The following is a 17,607-nucleotide window of genomic DNA, read 5'->3' as shown; positions in this document are numbered from 1 at the left end:
ATGCACACACACACACTTGGGAAGTCTTGGGGCTTCTCTTTTCTGTAGTTCTAGACTTCCCATTTCCAGCAGGTATTCCGAAGGCATCACATGTAAAAACAGCAAAAATGAGGGGGTAGTCGAGAGCCACAGAAAATAAATAAAAAACAATTGAGAAAATCTTGATGGAACAATTGAAAAACTCTCGAAGGAAAAGGAGGGGCAGGAGAAATGTTTACACAGTGTGGGAGGGAGCAGGGAGGCAGCAGAGTGAGGTCAGGGGCCTGTCCCACCATGTTTTGCATCTCTGGGCACACAGATCCTGGTGTGGCACACACGGACAGAGAAGCCAGTGCTGGTGAATGAGGGCAAGAAGGGCTTCACTGACCCCTCGGTGGAGATCTGAGCCTCAGGATGCAGGTATGGGCATGACGAGGGTGGGCCACACACTGGGCAGGGCGGCACCAGGTTGGGCCGAATCAACTGTCTCATTCTTTTCCTCTTGGGCTTTCACTGTGGAGGACAGGGCAGATGTGGGCAGGAGTGGAGGGCGTCGTCACCACAGTCCCCTTCCCACTGGGCCACCTGAAAGTATCCAGGCATTAACTTTCACCCACGCAGCTGGGTCCTTCTGCCACCAGACTCTTCAGAGGGTGTCACCTTCCAAACATCTTGCTGATTTTTCTGCTGGCAGTGACGCCTGCACCCCACAAGGCACTGCCATTCAGACTCTCGCTGGCCAGCGTCTGTCCCCCCAAGTCTGCCTCTTCCCCTGTGGATTCCTTCACCACGTGGCCATGGTGAGGACTCACGGACTCGCTGCTCCACAGCAATGAGCCCACGGCTGTCATAGTGAGAGGTAGCGCAGAGTGACAGCACGGACCCAGAGCCCACCTCAGCTCCCAGGACCCCTGCTCTTCACTGTTTGACCTGACTTGACTTTTCTGGGCCTCAGTTTCTTCATCTGTGAAGTAGGTTGCTGAGAGCACCTAGAACAGTTCATGGCACTTAAATCTCATCAGTGTGGCTATTTTTATTCAAGTCTTTAAAGCCCTCTCTGGAAGTAGGCCACAGGATCCACCTACACTTCAGAAGCAAAGAAATGATGTTGAGAGAAGCTAAATGAATGTTCCAAGGTGACACACTGGCACGAGTGAATTGTGCTGGGTGGTTGGCAAAGCCAGGCATTTTCAGGGGCTTTTCTGTGATCTTATCCTGTCTCTTAAAAGCAGCTGGTACTCCTGACTCCCTACTCTAGGTTATGCCAAACAGAGGTTGAGGCCTGAGACAGACATTTGTCCTCTTGCCCTGGAGCTAAGCAATAGCTTCTGTATTGTGTTTGCCCGCAGAGGACCACAGGGTGTCACTCAGTCACCTTGGCCAGCGCCACTTAGAATGCATCTGTACCGAGCCTCACTTCTGCCTCCTGCCCTCACTGCCCTCACTGGAAGCACCTTCCCCACCTGCCCCTCAGAAAGGCCCCCACAGGACCTGGGGGCCTGGGCTTTGCAGAGGTCCTGGTGGCCCTGCCTGGCCATTCCCTCCCCGGCCCCACCCTCAGCCGACACCTCACTCATTCCTCCTCTCCCCTCACAGGAGCCTCCTCCTCAGACCCTGTTCTTGGCCTTCCATCCTCTCCCCACGGCTGATGGTCCCTCCAAGGCCGACTCCTAAGGAATCACCATCACCCTCCTTTCTATTCTGGGGGCTTCTGAGAGAGCCCAGCCTGATGCCAGAACAAAGGACAGAGAATTTAAGCACAGAAATCCCAGACCTGTTGTTCTCTCCATCCAGCGTGACCAGGGCCCGAGAGACCTGATGGCCAGGGTGGGGTGTCCAGCACCAGCCAAGCTGGTGCTCCAGCGCACCTCCCCAGAGCTCCCCGCACTGACGGGGCTGCAGGAGCAGGTGCAGTGGGCGCCCACACTGGCCCTGCAGTGATGCAGGGCGGGAGGGAGATAAGAAGACCCCGCAGTCAAGTGGAGCATGGCCCTCCCTGGCTCCCTGTCCCTGGGCTCAGCACGACCACACAGGACACCCAGCCAGGGAATTCTGAAGACCAGAGAGCAGCCCACGGGCATCACGAGCGCTCTGCTCCTCTCCTGGGCCCCTGCTCTTCCCGAGAGCTGCCCCCAAATCAGACATACCTCTGTGGCTCTCCTCTGGTTCACGTTTACAGAGCATAAGGCTGTCTTGGATCCCAACAGGCACCCAGCCCTGCATGGGGGGAGCCTGGGCCTAATAGGCACCCCCTGTACCTCAGGCTGTGGCGGGAGCAGAGTCCCCCCCTCCGGCCCCTCTTCCTTTACCCCTTCTCCTCCAGCAGTGGCAAAGGGGTAGGCTCTAGAGCCAGCACAGGTCACTGCCTGACCTGGACTAAGAACCCCACGGCCCCACTGTCCACACACTGCCTCCCCACCGCCCACCTCGGCTGCTAGGCCCCTCGCCTGGACTGGACTGGGGAGGGAAAGCGCCTTTTCCTGCAGCTCTTCAGAGCCACAGACCTCAGGGTGGAGTGAGCCCATGGTGGGCAGTGGGCAAGGCGGTGGGTGGTGGGCAAGGTGGGACCTCCTGCAGCCTGGAAAGAGGAGGGAGGCCAAGGCCATTCCCTAACTCCCTCCTGCCCCTGGTCTGAGGAGGAGGGACTCTGGAGTAGCAGAGGGGCTGGGAAAGAGGGGGCAGGGGCTGCTGGGACACTGAGCAGGAGGGAGGCCTGAGCACACTGCTTTGGAAATTATTCTAAACACAAAAAAGGGAAAGAAAATGTTATTTCTCCCTAAGTCAGGAGCATGCAGAGCTAGCCCACCTCATGTCCAGCTGTCCACTTTCCATCCTGGAGAAAGAACAGTGTGCCTCAAACTCCTGCCCTCCCCAGGCCTCTGGGGCCCACTGGAAAGGGCTCTGACCCCCTGGCCCAGCCGGGCTCTCTAGTGGTGATCCGGCTCATTCTCCTGCAAGTTGGAAGCACAATTTTCCCCCCAAGTGGAGGAAAAGGAAAGGGCCCCAGCCTACTGAAGAGGTGTTTATTTTTTAACTAACAGCCTCCCACCCCATTAAGACTCACCAGGAGAGGTCTGAGGGCCATTCAGAACCCACTCCTGAGTGGGTGGGTGGGTGGGACTCAGTCCAGAGACCTAACATTCAGAATATAGCATTGGTTGCCTATTTTGAGATGGATTTAATCTCCCACAGTATTCATGAGACCATCTGATGGAATCAGATCCCTGAGCCACCTTGCAGGACGTTTTCCCCAACCTCTTACACCCTGGATGTCACTTTGGAAACCAAGCCCTTGGAAGCAAGTGGGGTGGCATGGGAGAGAAGGGAGGAGGTGGGCACAGGTGGTGAGCTTATGTGTGGGCACTCTACTGCCTCACAGAAGCCAGCCAAGTGCCAAGGTCAGCTTGGCTGGTCTGAGGCCACCTTCTTAGCCAAAAACCTAGGGTTCATTTTCAGGACTTTGATAATGAACAACAAAATGGGGACTTCTTTGGGCAGATGCTAGGTCAGTTGTTTTCACCTAATATCCTCTTTTAGCTGCATGTATATTTATTTATAATTATAACCCTGGTGGACTGCAGCCTTCATCTTTATTGGGAATGAGTTTGTTATAAATCAGAAATGGGTCCATGATGACCACTGTTTTCCAAACCCAGTCTGTTCCCTGCTCCCTCGCTGGCAAGCCCCACCACACAGGAGTGAGGCCAGGGGCTAGGAGTTCTAAGAACAGAGGCTGGGGTGAGGGTGGCACCCAGGCAGCTGCATCTGGTCTGTTTTAATTTAACTGTATTTAATTTGCTTTCAAAATTAAAAGTCAAATACAGTTTTTAACAGTCCTAATCCTCTTCAGCCCTGCCTTATTTTGTTCTCATTTATTAATTTAGCTACCCAACAAGTATGTATCAGGTGCCTGTTATGAACAGGCATCATTCTAGGAGCCGACACACAGCAGTGAGAAAACAAGGCTCTCATTTTCAAAGAACTGACCCACTGACGAGAGGAGACAGGCAATAACGAATGCATATTATTTCAGATGCAATCTGTTGTATGGAGGATGAGGGTGAGTCGGGGAGACAGAGGTAGCAGTGGAGAGGGTCAGTGCTCTGTAGGGTGACCACAGAGGCCTCCGTGATAAGTGACCCTTGAGCGAAGCAGCAACACCCTGACATGCAGCTCCCCGGGCCCAAGAAGAACGAACTCTCCACCAGGCGGAACAAGCGTTGCTCAGCCTGCTTACAGATCAGCAGGAAGGCCATCGGGCTCAACTGACGGGGCGGGGGCTGCTGGGGGCAACAGCAGTGAGGGATGTGGTGGGCGTGGGAGAAGGGAGTCCCCAGGCACCGGGTGAAACCAGAAGGCAATAGGGGGTCCAGTACGGAGGACTAACATAATCTATCCATCTCTAAGAAGAACTGCCCTGCTCCTCCACGGAGGATAAATGGAGAGGGCAAGGGCAGGTGGAGACGTGGCTCCTGGAATCATCCAGGCCAAGATGCAGTGGGCTGAGTGGGGGCATGGGGTTGGGGCAGAGAGAAGCAGTCAAATTTTGGCCAAGTTTAGGAGGCAGAGCCAGGAGGATCTGCTGCTGGATTGGATGTGGGAGATAAAGAGAGGGGTCCAAAATAGCCCGAGACACAGAACAGCACTGCCATTTCCAGATACAGGGCTGCGTGCAGGAGGGGTAATGTGGGGAAATGGAGCTCTGTGTCAGGTGCCTGTTAGACACATGCAGAAGAAAATGCGCCCCCACACACCTGGAGCTCAGGTGCAGCCCAGCATCGGCGGGCGCGGGTGTCCAACCTGTTTACAAACCACAGGTGCACGGGTGAGACCCTATGCAGTGAGTGTGGACAGAGGAAAGAAACAGCCCAAGGAGTGGGCCAGAGACCCCCAGCATTCAGAGGCTGGATATGAAGAGGGATTCTCCAAAGAGACCTAGATGAGGCCATACCGTGTGGAAGATAATGGAAACATCTTTAGTCAACGCTGGAGAATAAGCTCTGCCAAGAGGTACTTTGATAGAGAAGCTGAGCAATTAACTGGCAGAAAATAAGGGTGAGAATAAGAAGCTGGTGTAGGAAGACCTCACCTTAGGAAACCACAGTGTGTCCTGCTCAGGTCTGCGTGGAAGTGTGATCCAAGGGGCTTCTCCACCTTACAGGAGGATTTGCAGGAAGGTTCCCTTCCATTCCATCACTTTCTGACGGAACCAGCTCATACACAGCTCTGCAGAAGCACACACTCAGGTAAAGCGGGGCAGAAGACCCTGCAGGTGGCTCAGGCCACACCCAAGTAGCCCGAGTCTCATCCACATCTTAGCCCCATGCTTGTCGTTCCGAGGCAGTTCCAGAAGAACTGGTGAGTTTGGGCAAAACCAGGGACTCTGCCCCATGTTGTTCCCAAGCCACTGTCCACAAGCTTTCCTTTAATAAGCTCCATTTAATAAGCCCTTGACCCGGCTCAGCTGCTGGGCTGCACACCACGAATGTCCCCTGCACTCCCCCTGGGCAGCCACACACGGGCAGCAAGCCTGCTGGCCTCAGTGAGCTCCACGGCTCACCATCCCCCAGCCCACCTTCACGGGGCTCCCAGAGCTCTCGCTGTGCCGGGGATGTGTGTGCTACTTGACTTTCTGACTCTTACTGGAGATAATTTGGTTTTGGCAGTAGATGCCAGATGTAGTTTGTGAAGCAAAACTCAACCCCGCAGTTAACTCATATGGAGCGCCCTTGACTGCCTGGCAGATTCTTACCCCCGCCCACCAGCATGAGAATGAATTTGCATTTGAACTGTCCTCTCCAGGGCACTTCCAATCCAGAGACATTTGAAGGGAAGTCGGGGTCAGGAGGGGAATATGAGGCCAGGATCATGGCCCACCCACCCCAGGGACGGTCCCCATCTGGACCCCCAGGCGGCAAGTGGGGCCCAATGGGAACCTGACCAAGAAAACCAAGCTCTCAGACAGCCTTCCCTTCTGGCAAGAGTGGCACACATGACCAGAGACTATCACCAGAGGGGGTGTGATTCAAGGTTATAGCTTTACTGCAACTCAGGACAGTGAGCCCAAGCCAGGTGTTGGGCTGGGCCCCAGAACAAGGCTCAAATGCGGACTTGGACACACTTCGAAGGAGGGCTGCTCTGCCCCTGCTGTTCGGGCGTGGGGGGTGGGGGGCGGGGGCCACTGAGCTGGGCCTTCTGTCCTCCTCCCTGGATGTGCAGACATGGGCCATGGCTTCTGCCAGGACTCACATGTGAGCTGGGCCTTCTGTCCTCCTCCCTGGATGTGCAGACATGGGCCATGGCTTCTGCCAGGACTCACATGTGAGCTGGGCCTTCTGTCCTCCTCCCTGGATGTGCAGACATGGGCCATGGCTTCTGCCAGGACTCACATGTGAGCTGGGCCTTCTGTCCTCCTCCCTGGATGTGCAGACATGGGCCATGGCTTCTGCCAGGACTCACATGTGAGCTGGGCCTTCTGTCCTCCTCCCTGGATGTGCAGACATGGGCCATGGCTTCTGCCAGGACTCACATGTGAGCTGGGCCTTCTGTCCTCCTCCCTGGATGTGCAGACATGGGCCATGGCTTCTGCCAGGACTCACATGTCCTCCTCACTGAACACCAGAGACACCTGCTAACTTGGGAAGACGCAGGGTGAGGATTTCTGTTTCTCCAGCCCAGCCTGTCACCCTGTGGGAAGCAGCGAGTGGGAAGGGAAAGGGGAAGTCACATGTTTCTCACGCCGAGTTCCTTCCAGAATCCCAAAGAAGGCTCAGAAGGTTGTGAAGGAAGAACAAAGTCAGCTCAGGTGAGACACCCCTTCCCCACCCTCTACACTGGTGACACACCCAGGATTTCGGGGATAAAATGGGGCCATGAGGGATGTGGCCAAGCCTCCCAGGAACCAGCAAAGAGCACGCCTGAGTCCAGCAGATGCTCGCAGGGCTGTGACGTCCAGTGCAAGGGCACGTTTCAGCACTTTTTCTGAGGGCCAAAGGCTGGGCGATCTGATTAGCTGCTCCCACCCTAGAGACAGCCCGACAGCCTCGGCACAAGAGCAGGGCTGTAGGAAAGCCATCATCAACAAAGCCAGGCCCAGAGCCATCCCACCTTTCCCTGCAGGCTTAGGGTTTTGAGCTGAGACAGGGGCAGACTGTAGCCCCCAGTCCCTGAGGTTGCTACTTAAGGAGATGCTTTTGCAGTGAGGGGTGGGGCAGCAGCCACCAGGCTTCAGGTCAAGAGGAGGCGGCAGTCTCCCACTGGCACCAGCAGGAGGGGGTGCCACCGCTCACTTAATGTACTGGTTCCTGCCCAGGTGGGGGGTTTCCGTGAACTGTAATGCAGGGCCCGCCATCGTCTCCTCAAAAACGATGACCTGTGGAGAGAGGGCCCGGCTGGGAGGGCAGCTGACGTCTGTCCTGGAGCCAGGGGAGGTGCTGAGAGGTGGCAGGGTCAGAAGGAAAGGGTTTGGGAACCAGGCTGGAAGGGACAGGGACCAACAACTCGTCTGCAGCGAGGAGGAGGGAGGAAGAACCCGCTGACACGCCCCTCCACCCTGACCGAAGGCTCCCTGGGACGGCAGGTGGGCAGGGCGTCATGGGGAACAGGAAGGGGCTGGAAGCTCCCACCTGGTTGATTCCGCTGCTCAACCAGGGACCTGGGAGGTAAAGCGTCTTCTGGGGTCCAATGTTCCAGTAACGTCCAAGGTTCTGGCCATTGATGAATACAACCCCCTTCTCCCAGCCCTTGAAACAGAGGGGAAGGGTGTTCATCTACCACGAGAGCCACAGCAAAAGTGGAGGGAGACATGCATGCGTGCTTCTCTCAGGTCCAGGAGACCAAAGCGAGCTGTGTCTGGACAGCCATGAGGGTGGGCAGGTGGGATGCTCTATTTCCTGTCCCCCTAGTGCATGAGGTGTTTCTTCTGCTGGGAACCCACTCCTCTGGCCCAGGGAGGCCCCAGCGGCCCTCTCAGACCCTCTGGGCACAGAAGCCACCAACGACTCTCGCCAAGCTCGTGGCTTTGGCTCAGAGCCCTCCAAGGCGGGAGGCAGGTGGGAGAAACTGGCAGGGAAAAGGGCGTTACCAACCTCCAGCTTCAGAAAGGTGTCACAAGGGGTGGAGCTGATGGACAAGCTACCCAAGAAGAAAGCAGGTAATGTGGGTGTTTCTGGGAGGGAACTCCATTTGTCCAGGCCGAACCTAAGGACAGAACACAGAGAAGGAGAGGGAGGAGGCCCTTCTCAATCCACCAGCACAATAAAGCAAAATAAAAGGCCCTGACACCGTTTCCCCATCCAAGGCCCCCCGCCTCTTAACCAGGACACAGAATGGCAGCACGGTAGGATGCTGGGAATTCCTAGTCTGCAAATGCGGCTTCTAGTGCGGGTGCCACCCCTCACCTCGGCCAGCCGATCTGGCCCCTGGAGGCGTTCACACCTGGGTGCGGGCCAGGCCACGGTGCACCAGGGACCCCTGGGCCCCACCACACAGCACTATACCTGTGAGTGCAAGGGCTGGTGCTGGGCAGGGACCCACCTCTGAAAGAAGCTCTTCTTCATATCCAGGCTATAGATTCTGAAGTTTTTCAGGGGTGAATCATTCAGATAGAGATTTCCAATTAAGCCTGTGGGAGGGAGGCAGGACACGTGGGTAGCCCAAAGGCAGGGGCCGAGTCAGCTGGGCCGGGGCCACGAGGGGAAGCCCTGGGAAGCTGGGGTGAGGGGTGCTGAAGTGTACGCTCCCTGAGAAGCTGGGGTGAGGGGTACTGAAGTGTACGCTCCCTGGGAAGCCGTTCGCTTGCAAGCAAAGCTCCCTAGCAATTCTGTGGGGGACGGGAAGGAGGAAGACCCTAAGATTTGCCATGGGAAGGATATAGAGCTGAGGTGTTACAGGGCGAGAACAACCTCTGGCCTCTCTCTGAAGGAAGTTCCAGATGACCGAGAGGGTTCTGGCCTAGCTGCAGGGCCAGTTTCAGTGGGGCCCAAGCTACACAGACCTAATAACTCAGCCAGAATCATCTCTGCCACCTAGGATTAAAGCTGTGCATTAGGAGTGTTTGGACTGTGAGCAGATGGCACCCTCCCTCGGGCATCCAACAGGGAAGAGATGTGTCCTCTTGAGGAGCCACTCATCAGTGTCCCGGGGCCGGGCCAGCCCTGCCAGTCTCAGATTACAGAGCTGCTGAGTGGCTAGCTTGGGAATTTGGAGGCCGAGGACTGTGGAGAGGCTTTGCAGGGCCTACAGACTCCGAAATGGCAGGTGCGGGTCTATGTGGGCACGCGCATTTCTCAAGGGAGGTCTGTGACTTATAAACATTGAACTGTGATCCAGAGGACAGGACTCCACAGTGTGGGCCCAGGGGACCCTCAACAAGGGCTCAGGGAAGCAAAGTTAGGAACAATGGTCAGGCTGGTGCTCCTTCCAACTCCCAGGAGAACAACAGAAGTGAGGACAGGCCCAGAGAGGGAGCTGTCTAGGGTAAAGGAGTGTGGGCCTGGGTGGTGCTAGATGCCGCTCTGAGGCCCATCTAGAAGGGCCCTGATCCCCAGGATCCAGGCCCCAGTGTCTGGGCCACGTGGCTTTCCTGGCAGGCCACCAGACGGCTCTCGGAGGAAATGTGGACCAATAAGAGCTCTTCAAGTTTCCTCCGTCACAAACGCAGACACCGTGAGAGAGCTGGGAGGTCACCGGTGCTGCTCACCACAGTCGCATTCATTTTGTTCTGAGTTCTTTTTTTATAACTTACCTGAAACCACCCACATTTAGCTAGATTTTTTTTAAAAAGGAAGGGCTAAATTTGGGCACGGTGGCGGGCGCCTGTAGTCCCAGCTACTCGGGAGGCTGAGGCAGGAGAATGGCATGAACCCGGGAGGTGGAGCATGCAGTGAGCCGAGATTGCACCACTGCAGTCTGGCCTGGGTGAAAGAGCGAGACTCCGTCTCAAAAAAAAAAAGGAAGGGCTAAATTAAAGCATAAAAGATTTAGTAGGCCAGGAAACATAAAGCAAATTGGCGGCCTATTCCCAGAGGGGTACGCTACCAACAGGTGTTTTGTTTGCTGTATGTCCCGCATCCTCCTCCCCCAACATCTGAGATAAGCTTTCCCAAGATGGATCAAGAAGAGAACTTCAGTGTGGAGGCCCAAGAAGGCAGGGGTCTTGTGCCTTTCCTTGGATTCCTGGAAATCACATTCATTGCTCCTCACTGCCGCCCCCCCAAGCAGACATCCTTGCAGAAACCGACTGCAGCCCAGGGGAGACAAGAGGCCAGCTCAGTGTTCACAGTGTTTATCACGAGCACGCAGACGATGCACGCGTGCAGTGCTAACAGGACAGGGGCCACAGCCCAGCGGAGTTTCTCTGGCCCACTCAGAACTGGCCTCATGTATGGGACAACCCAGCCTCCACCTCCCTGCAAGAGGCCTCCATGGCCTGGTGGCCTGCTAGCATAGAGAAGCAATAGCCACCTGTGTGTCCAGCATGGCCACTCTTCTTTTGACACATTCTGGGACCCACCTTTGCGCTGGTCATCAATATTCTCCCCATAGTTGACTCGCCCACGATTCTCCACCAAGATCCTCAGCACGGTGTAACCCTGCCGGGAACACGGGGCTAACGATGACTGTCAGAAGGCCACAGCTGCCCCTCAGAATTTGCTTGTGGACCCCAGTTCTTCCCTACGCTCTGGGGATGGGAGTGTACATCCCAGCTGGGCAGAAAGCCACACTCGCCCTCTCCACCTACAGCTTGTGGGTAAGGAGCCACGGGTCTCCCAGGTTTTCCTCAGTGACTGCCCCCAGACTTCCTCGAAGCAGCGGGGGCTAGCCATCACCCAGCTCCCAAAAACAACGAACCTGGATCAGGGGGACAGCAATCTTCGTTGTCTTGTAGTCCAAGAATCCTATGGATACTGTGTTCACAAACACCTGCCAAAGGGAACAGGCAGGAACATCCATGACCAACAGGAGGAGGGTAAGCGGGACCTCCTCCAGGCCAAGAAGGGCAGCACGCGTGCCTGTAGGCAGACGAGGGGCCAGTGGGCAGAGCAGACATGAATGCCCCCTGAAGGCTCACAGAGCTGACTCAGAAGGGCCATTGTCACACACTGGTAAGAGCTGATTCTGAGGGGAGGGCATGAGACGCCTATTGCAGAGCTGCTCACCAGAAGGTCACAGGAATTTAGAAGAGAAGCTCCTACCTGCCCCCGATCATGCACGTGGCCACTGAGGATGCCAGACGAGGTGATGCTGGTCTCATAGAGAATGTACCCGAAGGACTGTCCATTTCCCCCATTGACTGGCAGGTTCTCCATGTTGATGGGCTTTTCAGACTTGATTGGCTGCGTACAGAAGAGATGGAGGGGTGGGCAGGCTCAGGAGGAGTGGGGTCACAGACAGACTCTGCCTGGGGGCTGGCACATGGGGTGGAAGCGGAGGTTTGGTGGGTGTTTTCTACTTTGACTTCTCATTGCACTAAACATACAACTCTCCAGGGTGACGGGGAAGAGGAGTGGGGCAAAGGGGTGTGCACCAGCAGAGTGCAGTCCGCAGGCAGGGGACACACATCACAGCCTCAGTCCGCCGGAGGAGGCACCCCCTTCTTGGGGAGGGGACGGCCTGTTCCTCTGCCCCTCACTCTCCTCTCTGAGGCTGGAGGAAGGAAAGGCCCACGGGGCCAGCCGCTGTTCCTCAGGGACCTCTGTTTCTCCCACTTCACACTCCAGCATGAGTCTGTCCTCTTCCCTCTGAGCTCCAAGGCCGGAGAGCAGACCCCAGAGCCACCAGGCACTGGCCTGCCTCCCCCCACACTCCCTGTCTGGAGGGGCTCCAGGCCCTGCTGCCCCGACGACTCTCACCTCCCGCCGACGACTGCCCCCAGCACTCACCTCCCTGCCAACGACTGCCCCCGGCACTCACTCACCTCCCGATGACTGCCCACAGCACTCACCTCCCCCAGGTACTTGAGGGCGTCCCACAGAGACAGGTACAAGACTGGCGTTAAGGGCTCATACGGCATCTTGGGAAGAAGGTCAGGTGGGGGAGGGAGAGGGATGCCTGCAACACAGAAAACAGGGTCACCCCCAACGGACCCAAATGTCACTGCCTGCTCGTCCTCCCCACCCGGCTCCCATCCACAGACCCGATGTGCTCCTGCGTCCCAGCACCAAGAGGAACAACAGGCTAGCTCTCAGCACCTGCTGAGGCCAGGGAGGAAGGCCAGGCCTGGGGGAAAGCCAGGGCGTTCTCCCGTCCTCCACAGGAGATAAGGAGCGTTAACACCTGTAACAGGTGAAGCCGGCAAGATGGAAACAGCCTCACACACCTCCCTGTCCTTGTCTAGGATATTCTTGCACGCAGATCAACTGGGGTCGAGGTGGGACAGTAAGGAAGTAACTCTTTAGGGGTCTGAGAGCAGAAGCGAGGGCCTGAGTTGGAACTTGAGTCTGCTGTCTGCTGGGTACCTGAGATGGAGCCGAAGAAGTCTCGAAGCTTCATGTACTTGGCCGTGTAATCGCCGGCTTCTGTCAGCACAGCATCATAGTCTGCAAGACACCGGGCCCTGTCATGGTCATTCCTGTCCCCAGCACAGCACATGTAGCACGAAGAACAGGGAGAAGCTTGGAAGGGCCACAGGTCTTCATCTCAGCCATTGGGGAGGCAAGACACTTTTGAGCCATTCAGTCAAAATACTGTAAACATGAAAGACCAGGCAACTACAACAAGCGTCCATAAGGCCAGGTGCAGCGGCTCACACCTGCAATCCCAGCACTTTGGGAGGCCAAGGCAGGAGGATCGCTTGTGCAGTGGCTCACACCTGTAATCCCAGCACTTTGGGAGGCCAAGGCAAGAGGATCGCTTGTGCAGCAGCTCGCACCTGTAATCCCAGCACTTTGGGAGGCCAAGGCAGGAGGATCGCTCGAGGCCAGGAGTTCCAGACCAGCCTGGGCAACATAGCGAGACCCCCACCTCTACAAAAAATTTTAAAAATTAGCCAGAGGTGGGGGTGCACACCTGTAGTCCCAGCTACTCAGGAGGCCGAAGCAGGAGGATCACTTGAGCCCAGGTATTTGAGGCTGCAGTGAGCTATGATCACACTACTACACTCCAGCCTGGGTGTCAGAGTGATAACTCTCTCACAAATTCAAAAAAACACAAACTGTCCATGATCACAGCATGGCCCTAAATTTCTAGCTGCAGGTGTAATTTCTACTTTCTGGGACTCTCAACCTAAAGGAGGCAGGATCACACCTCCTCAAGGGCCTGGGCAGGGAGGGGAGGCCACCGTCCCTCCCTGTCCCCCTAGGGCGGTCTCCTTCCACTTCCTCAGGCCAACCTTTGCCAAAGAGGCCTCTCTGTAGAGTGACCAGCTCACAGGCACACCACCTCCCTTGAGGCTTCCCTCCTCTGGGAGTGTAACATGACTGTCCAGGCAAGTACCTTCTCCAGGTACTCTATTGCCAAAGACACGAAGGTGCCAGAAGTTGACCCTGAGGGCCTCTCCATAGCAAGTCCCAGCCATGCCCATGCAGGGCAGACCAGGGAGAGCAGTGCTGATGAATACTTGCCATAGCTGGTGACATCTGACTTGTAGTCATGGAAGTGCATGGCTCCATTCATGAAGCCAAAGTTGGTGCCTCCGTGGAACATGTAGAGGTTGATGGAGGAGCCGGCGTCCACAATGGCAGACACGGTTTTCAAAACCTCTGCCGGAGGAGGGAGAAAGGGGATGTGCAGAGTGAGTTAAAGTCTGAGATGAGCCGGGGTCCCTTCACTACTCTCCTCTTTCCCAGTCCCACCTCAAAACCTCAAGGCCAACTTTGTCACTCTGTCCTTCTAGCTCTCATAAAACCCCAATCACAGAAGATTAGGGGTGGAGGAGGAAGTGTGGGCCAGAATCATGGCCCCAGAGCTCGAGCCTCCAGTTGTCTGTCAATCCTGGTCAAGTCTCTGAGCTCCATGTGGACCACCTGCAGCCCAGGTCGGCCAGGGCCTTCCAGCCAGCACAGTCTCCATGTGAGTCTGCCTGACCAGGTGTATCAAGTGCACAAAGATGGGATGCATCCTTAGAGAGAAAACTCTGACACCTCCTATTCTACCTTTGTTAGGAAATGAACCATGACATAACAAGATCATAGCAAAGGAGAAAAACAAATGGTTAATAAATATATATTTTATCAATATAAATCAAAGAAATGCAGACTAAACAATGATGTACTGAGTAGACAAATATTAAAAGTTATTTTAATACTCGGTGTTGCTGAATCTGTGGGAAATGGGTGCACCCATTCAGCAGCAGCGGCTGAAGCTGCCGTCTTTCCGGGGGCTGAGGGGCGAGCATGCACATCTACACGGTGCCGAGGAGCCCCTGTGCCGCTCATCCCAGGGAAAGCCGGGTGCGCAGAGCGCAGGCTCCGGGATGCTCACCGGGATGCTCGCCGGGATGGCGTGCGCTTAACAGAACCACCAGAAACAACCCGGGAGACTGTGTCCACAAAGTGTGGTTTAGAATGGGGCTCTTCACATTCTTTAAAACAGTCATGTAAATCTGTATTTGGTCATACAGAAAGCTGTCCGTATGTGCATTAACTGGCACAAGCAGGTGACATGCAGCGGAGTGTGATGGCATCTGTCTCTATCTGTGTGTGCGTATAGAGCTGTCGGCAGAGATACAGAGAGAACTGCCTGCGTGGTAAACAGCTAAGTGTTTTCTCTGTGCTCTGGGAATTTTATTTCTTCTCTATACTTTTTCTGTATTTTCTGGATGTTTGCAATAGGCATGCATTACCCTTCTAATTACAAAAACACGAACAAGCAATGTTAAAAGCCCTCCCATTCATCCAAGTGTCAAGACAAATGACTCAGGAATATCCAAAGCCAACTTCTGCACACAGATAATCCCAGCAGCCTTGCACCCCCTATGGCTTACATTAGTTAGCAGGTGACTGAAACTCATCCTCACTTCTTAAGTAGCACACATTCTGGATGTAGTCACCGCAAGCACTCACCAGAAGAATCCAAGATATTGTGAGGGCCTCCCCACGAGTCAAACCACCCCGTCCAGTACTCCATCACCATCTTGGGCTGAGTCCCCTGGACACCACAAAATGAGAGTTAGACAAGCAGGCTGGCCAGACAAAAAAGAGGGAAGCTCTTCATGGAGGGGAGCCCCAGGATCTCTGCCCTCTCTACTCTTCCCTGTCTGCATACCCACTGCCTTAGAGGTCTTTGGAGGTGGGGCATAGGTGAGGGCCAAATTCGCCTGCACACCAGTTCTCCTGCCACATGTGGCCTCCTGCAGGTATAGAGCAGATAAAGCTCCCAAAGTCGATATGGCAAACCCTGATGGTTTTAATGTTGCATACGTGTTAGCAAGAAGACACTGGTCCAGGATCAAGCCAAGCTTTGCCTGTCCTCTTCCAGGGAAGGGGGATGTTTTACCCAGGACAACTCCATATCTGAGAGGGATACTGTGGATGCAGATCCCTCCCCCCCACCCTGGGTACTGGCTCCATTAGCAGAAAAATCAGACGCTGCAGAGTGGGCCCTCTTCAAGGTCCAACTCAGTTTAAACAGCAGTTTGCAGCATTTTCTGAACCAGAAAATCAGGGCCTTACAGCACAGCTATTCATGGTGCAGGTTCTGCACTGACAGTTTGGATTTATACCTTGGCTGGGCCACTCAACAAATCTTAAATCTTCTTTCTGAATACTGACTTTGGCATAGGACGGCCCCAAGGAGGCCAAGATCATTCCTGGGACCATGCTCCACTCTGCCACGTTTGCAGAAGCCCAGAGCACCTGGGGGAGGTGTAAAGACTAACACGCTAGTATTTCAGGCTCTGCATGAGAGAGCCTTCCTCACTTATTCAGTGACAGCTTGTCAAGTATCTCTAGGTCAGTGATAGCCTTATGTTTAGAGGGATACCGCATACACAGCAACAAAATCTGATCCAGGGGGATGGGACAAACTCACGGTCCATTGAGTAGAAGGTACCAGCCATACCCGGGTTAAAGCCAAAGTAGTTACAAGAATTCTTCTAGCAAGACTGGCGGCTTGGTTTTCTTTACAAGCCACCTACCTTCCAAGAAGGAGACATACCATACCACGTTTAAATCACTAAAAAGGGAGAAGCAGATTCAAAGTCCCACAAGTCAGAAATCTCCCATGCCAGAAGCAAGGTTGTTGGCTTGAGGGTACCAGAGCTGCGGAGGTGGGTGTCCACCCATGGGCCAGGCCACTGCACTGCACAACTGGCTAAGAGCTGGAGCTCTGTAGTGAGACTGTTCTGCAGTCCCCAAGCCACTACTTACAGGGTGTCTTATACACTCTATAGCTGTCTCCTTCACTGGCTCATATGACTATTGGGAGAATTAAACGGGAGAGTGCACATAACACCCTTAGCACACTGTTCCTGGCAGGTAGGAGGTGCTCAAGAAACACTTGCATAGTTCTGTCCATCACGGGTCATGGACACAGAGGACGAGTGAGGTGCTATCGGACATCGCCACATGGAGCACACCTGGAGGCCTGTGCTGTGCATTCAGAGAGCCCTTGATTTAAACAGGGAGGTGTCCAAGTCCCCTTCCTTCAGGAAAACAGACATCTCTGGACTGCGCACATAAAGCCCTTCAGCAGGGCCATTCTGTTAGCAGGACAGCTGGCCTGGGAAGGCTCGCGCGTGGCTACCCCTCTAAGGATGACCTTGAAGGCTAAACATAAGGCATTCTGCTGTATCAGCTGCTGTGCTAGGCACTTTCCAAATATTACCTCATTTAATCTTCAAACAACCCTGTGAGTTGACACCATAAGGAAATGTACTCTCATCATCCCCACTTAGAAGAAGAGAGACGCACAGAGAGGTTAAGTAACTTGCCCAAGGTCACACAGCACAGGGCAGGAGACCCTGTCATCTCAGTCACAAGTATGAGAGGCACCCCCCACTCCACTGCACACATGGGCAGGCACTCAGGAAATGCCAAGAAAGGAAGGCAGAGACCCAGCTGGATCGCGCCTGATCTGCGTCACAGGAGCCTGCCTGGGAGCGGGGCCAGCCCTCCCACCTCCTCCTGGGAGCCTCCTCGCCTACTCTGGCAGCTGAACTCCAGGAGAAGCCACATCAAACACACACACGGCCCCACACGGCTGTGGTGGCTCCACGCAGATGTGCCTGAGGACACAGCCCCTGCTCTGAAAGGCCATCAGCCGGAATGGAAAGCAGCCCAGCGTCTCCACAGCCATCCATGCCTGTCCATCCAAGCACAACTCCACTCCAGGCCCAGGACCAGTGTGACGATGCAGCGTGGGGGCAGTCTGGAGCATCCACGCCCCTCAGTGAGCCAGGGGACAGCTGGGGCCTCTCAGGTCTGCAGAGGGCTGCAGCATGGCCCTGTCCATCCACCTGCTTCGGAGGGGCACGCGAGCTCGAGAAAGAGGCCAGTCAGAACTACAGGGTGGCATAAATGCCCATCAGTCTGACAGATATTGAGGGACATCTGGAAACTCCTCCCTCTCTCCGCACCTGGAGTGGACCAGGCTTTCTGCCTTGCTGATGACAATAATCTTTCTAGGATTGCAGGGGCCTCACAGGTTAAGGTCGGATGCCTGTGTAGTATAGGACAGGGAAGTTTTTCC

The 17,607-nt window shown here is 55.1% G+C and overlaps 2 protein-coding genes and 1 long non-coding RNA gene across 14 annotated transcripts in view, besides 1 other annotated feature; 1 reads left to right on the top strand and 2 right to left on the bottom strand.

Annotated features, from left to right (window-relative positions):
- The window catches only part of B3GAT1 (beta-1,3-glucuronyltransferase 1), a 33,739-nt gene extending 29,920 nt beyond the window's left edge, over positions 1 to 3,819 (top strand). For 6 of the 9 annotated variants that reach the window (XM_047426771.1, XM_047426772.1, NM_018644.3 and 3 more), the window contains 2 exons: positions 299 to 399; positions 1,576 to 3,819. In XM_047426771.1, coding sequence (XP_047282727.1) covers positions 299 to 385 — 87 coding nt within the window. In that variant the 3' untranslated portion in view covers positions 386 to 399; positions 1,576 to 3,819. The other 3 variants (NM_001367973.1, NM_054025.3, XM_011542753.3) reach the window with 2 other exon arrangements.
- Positions 3,820 to 3,981: 162 nt separating this feature from the next.
- Positions 3,982 to 5,527, bottom strand: LOC124902798 (uncharacterized). Its single transcript, XR_007062961.1, has 2 exons — positions 5,069 to 5,527; positions 3,982 to 4,259 (listed from the first exon to the last, which is right to left on the bottom strand). It is a non-coding gene; the product is annotated as an uncharacterized LOC124902798 (long non-coding RNA).
- Positions 4,963 to 5,862: an enhancer, noted in NCBI's record as "H3K4me1 hESC enhancer chr11:134246355-134247254 (GRCh37/hg19 assembly coordinates)". NCBI's record gives its function as "activates a minimal SCP1, AML or CMV promoter by ChIP-STARR-seq in naive H9 embryonic stem cells {active_cell/tissue: H9 hESC(naive)}" and the evidence as "EXISTENCE:reporter gene assay evidence [ECO:0000049][PMID:30033119]".
- GLB1L2 (galactosidase beta 1 like 2) overlaps positions 5,999 to 17,607 on the bottom strand; it is a 44,337-nt gene continuing 32,728 nt past the window's right edge. For 2 of the 4 annotated variants that reach the window (NM_001370460.1, NM_001370461.1), the window contains 11 exons: positions 14,982 to 15,066; positions 13,542 to 13,679; positions 12,438 to 12,518; positions 11,924 to 12,030; positions 11,175 to 11,315; positions 10,831 to 10,902; positions 10,493 to 10,571; positions 8,515 to 8,602; positions 8,067 to 8,178; positions 7,605 to 7,721; positions 5,999 to 7,351 (listed from right to left, as the gene is read on the bottom strand). In NM_001370460.1, coding sequence (NP_001357389.1) covers positions 7,265 to 7,351; positions 7,605 to 7,721; positions 8,067 to 8,178; positions 8,515 to 8,602; positions 10,493 to 10,571; positions 10,831 to 10,902; positions 11,175 to 11,315; positions 11,924 to 12,030; positions 12,438 to 12,518; positions 13,542 to 13,679; positions 14,982 to 15,066 — 1,107 coding nt within the window. In that variant the 3' untranslated portion in view covers positions 5,999 to 7,264. The remainder of the gene's footprint in view (positions 7,352 to 7,604; positions 7,722 to 8,066; positions 8,179 to 8,514; positions 8,603 to 10,492; positions 10,572 to 10,830; positions 10,903 to 11,174; positions 11,316 to 11,923; positions 12,031 to 12,437; positions 12,519 to 13,541; positions 13,680 to 14,981; positions 15,067 to 17,607) is intronic. The other 2 variants (XR_007062523.1, NM_138342.4) reach the window with 2 other exon arrangements.

This window comes from Homo sapiens, chromosome 11 (assembly GCF_000001405.40).
Source record: "Homo sapiens chromosome 11, GRCh38.p14 Primary Assembly".
Classification (NCBI taxonomy): domain Eukaryota; kingdom Metazoa; phylum Chordata; class Mammalia; order Primates; family Hominidae; genus Homo; species Homo sapiens.
Note: the sequence above shows the minus strand (reverse complement) of the source record. Positions and strands in the feature narration are given on the sequence as shown.